At 44.1% G+C, this 992-nt stretch overlaps 1 annotated feature.

The window, feature by feature from the left end:
* Window positions 517-706: a silencer, noted in NCBI's record as "fragment chr7:18017138-18017327 (GRCh37/hg19 assembly coordinates)". NCBI's record gives its function as "represses an EF-1alpha promoter that drives an FKBP-Casp9 reporter gene in an ReSE screen in K562 erythroleukemia cells {active_cell/tissue: K562}" and the evidence as "EXISTENCE:reporter gene assay evidence [ECO:0000049][PMID:32094911]".

The raw sequence follows: 992 nt of genomic DNA on the forward strand, positions 1-992 counted from the left end.
CCATAGAGCAGGCTTTATCATTAAAACTCAGATTTGATCAGGTTTTGATGAAGCTCAGAAGCTTAATCTTCTATACACTGACAGGAAGATTTAAAGTTGAATCGACCCACCCATTCAACAATTGCCTGTTGAGTGAGGACTCAACAGGCAATATGACTAACATCAATACTTAAAATGAACACAAAGATGAATCTCATGTCAGGTTGGCTCTCAGGAAGATGACAAGCTAACCACACAAAATAAATATCACACAAGAGGTATAGATTCGCATTATTCAAAATAGCAATGGATTAAAGAAGATATTTCTTTTCCATTTTAAGATATGTAGAGGTGGGAAACCATGGTGACAGGGTTACTCTGCCATGTCTAGCCCTGTCTAGCTTTCATTTCTAAGGCTCCTTCATGGTCTCATGCTGTTTTGGGAGTTCCAGCCTTCAGAATGAGCAGGAAAGAAGAAGAGCGGCTGGGCGTGGTGGCTCACGCCTGTAATCCGAGCACTTTGGGAGGCCGAGGCGGGCAGATCACGAGGTCAGAAGATCGAGATCATCCTGGCTAACACGGTGAAATCTGTCTCTACTAAAAAATACAAAAAAAAATTAGCCGGGCGTGGTGGCGGGCGCCTGTTGTCCCAGGTACTCGGGAGGCTGAGGCAGGAGAATGGCGTGAACCCGGGAGGCGGAGCTTGCAGTGAGCCAAGATCGCACCACTGCACTCCAGCCTGGGCGACAGAGTGAGACTCTGTCTCAAAAAAAAAAAAAAAAAAAAAAAAAAAAAAAAAGAAGAAGAGCAAGAATGGCATATTAGATTCCTAGGGGTGCTGTAAGAAAGTGCCACAAACGTGGTGGCTTAATACAACAAAAACTTATTCTTTTATAGTTTCGGAGGCCACAAATGTGAAACAAGGTGTAAGCAATCAATCAAGGCATGAACAGGGCCATGTTTCCACCAAGGCTCTACTGGACAATCCGTCCTTGCCTCTTCTACCTTCTAAT

The sequence above is a fragment of the Homo sapiens genome, chromosome 7 (assembly GCF_000001405.40).
Source record: "Homo sapiens chromosome 7, GRCh38.p14 Primary Assembly".
Taxonomy (NCBI): Eukaryota; Metazoa; Chordata; class Mammalia; order Primates; family Hominidae; genus Homo; species Homo sapiens.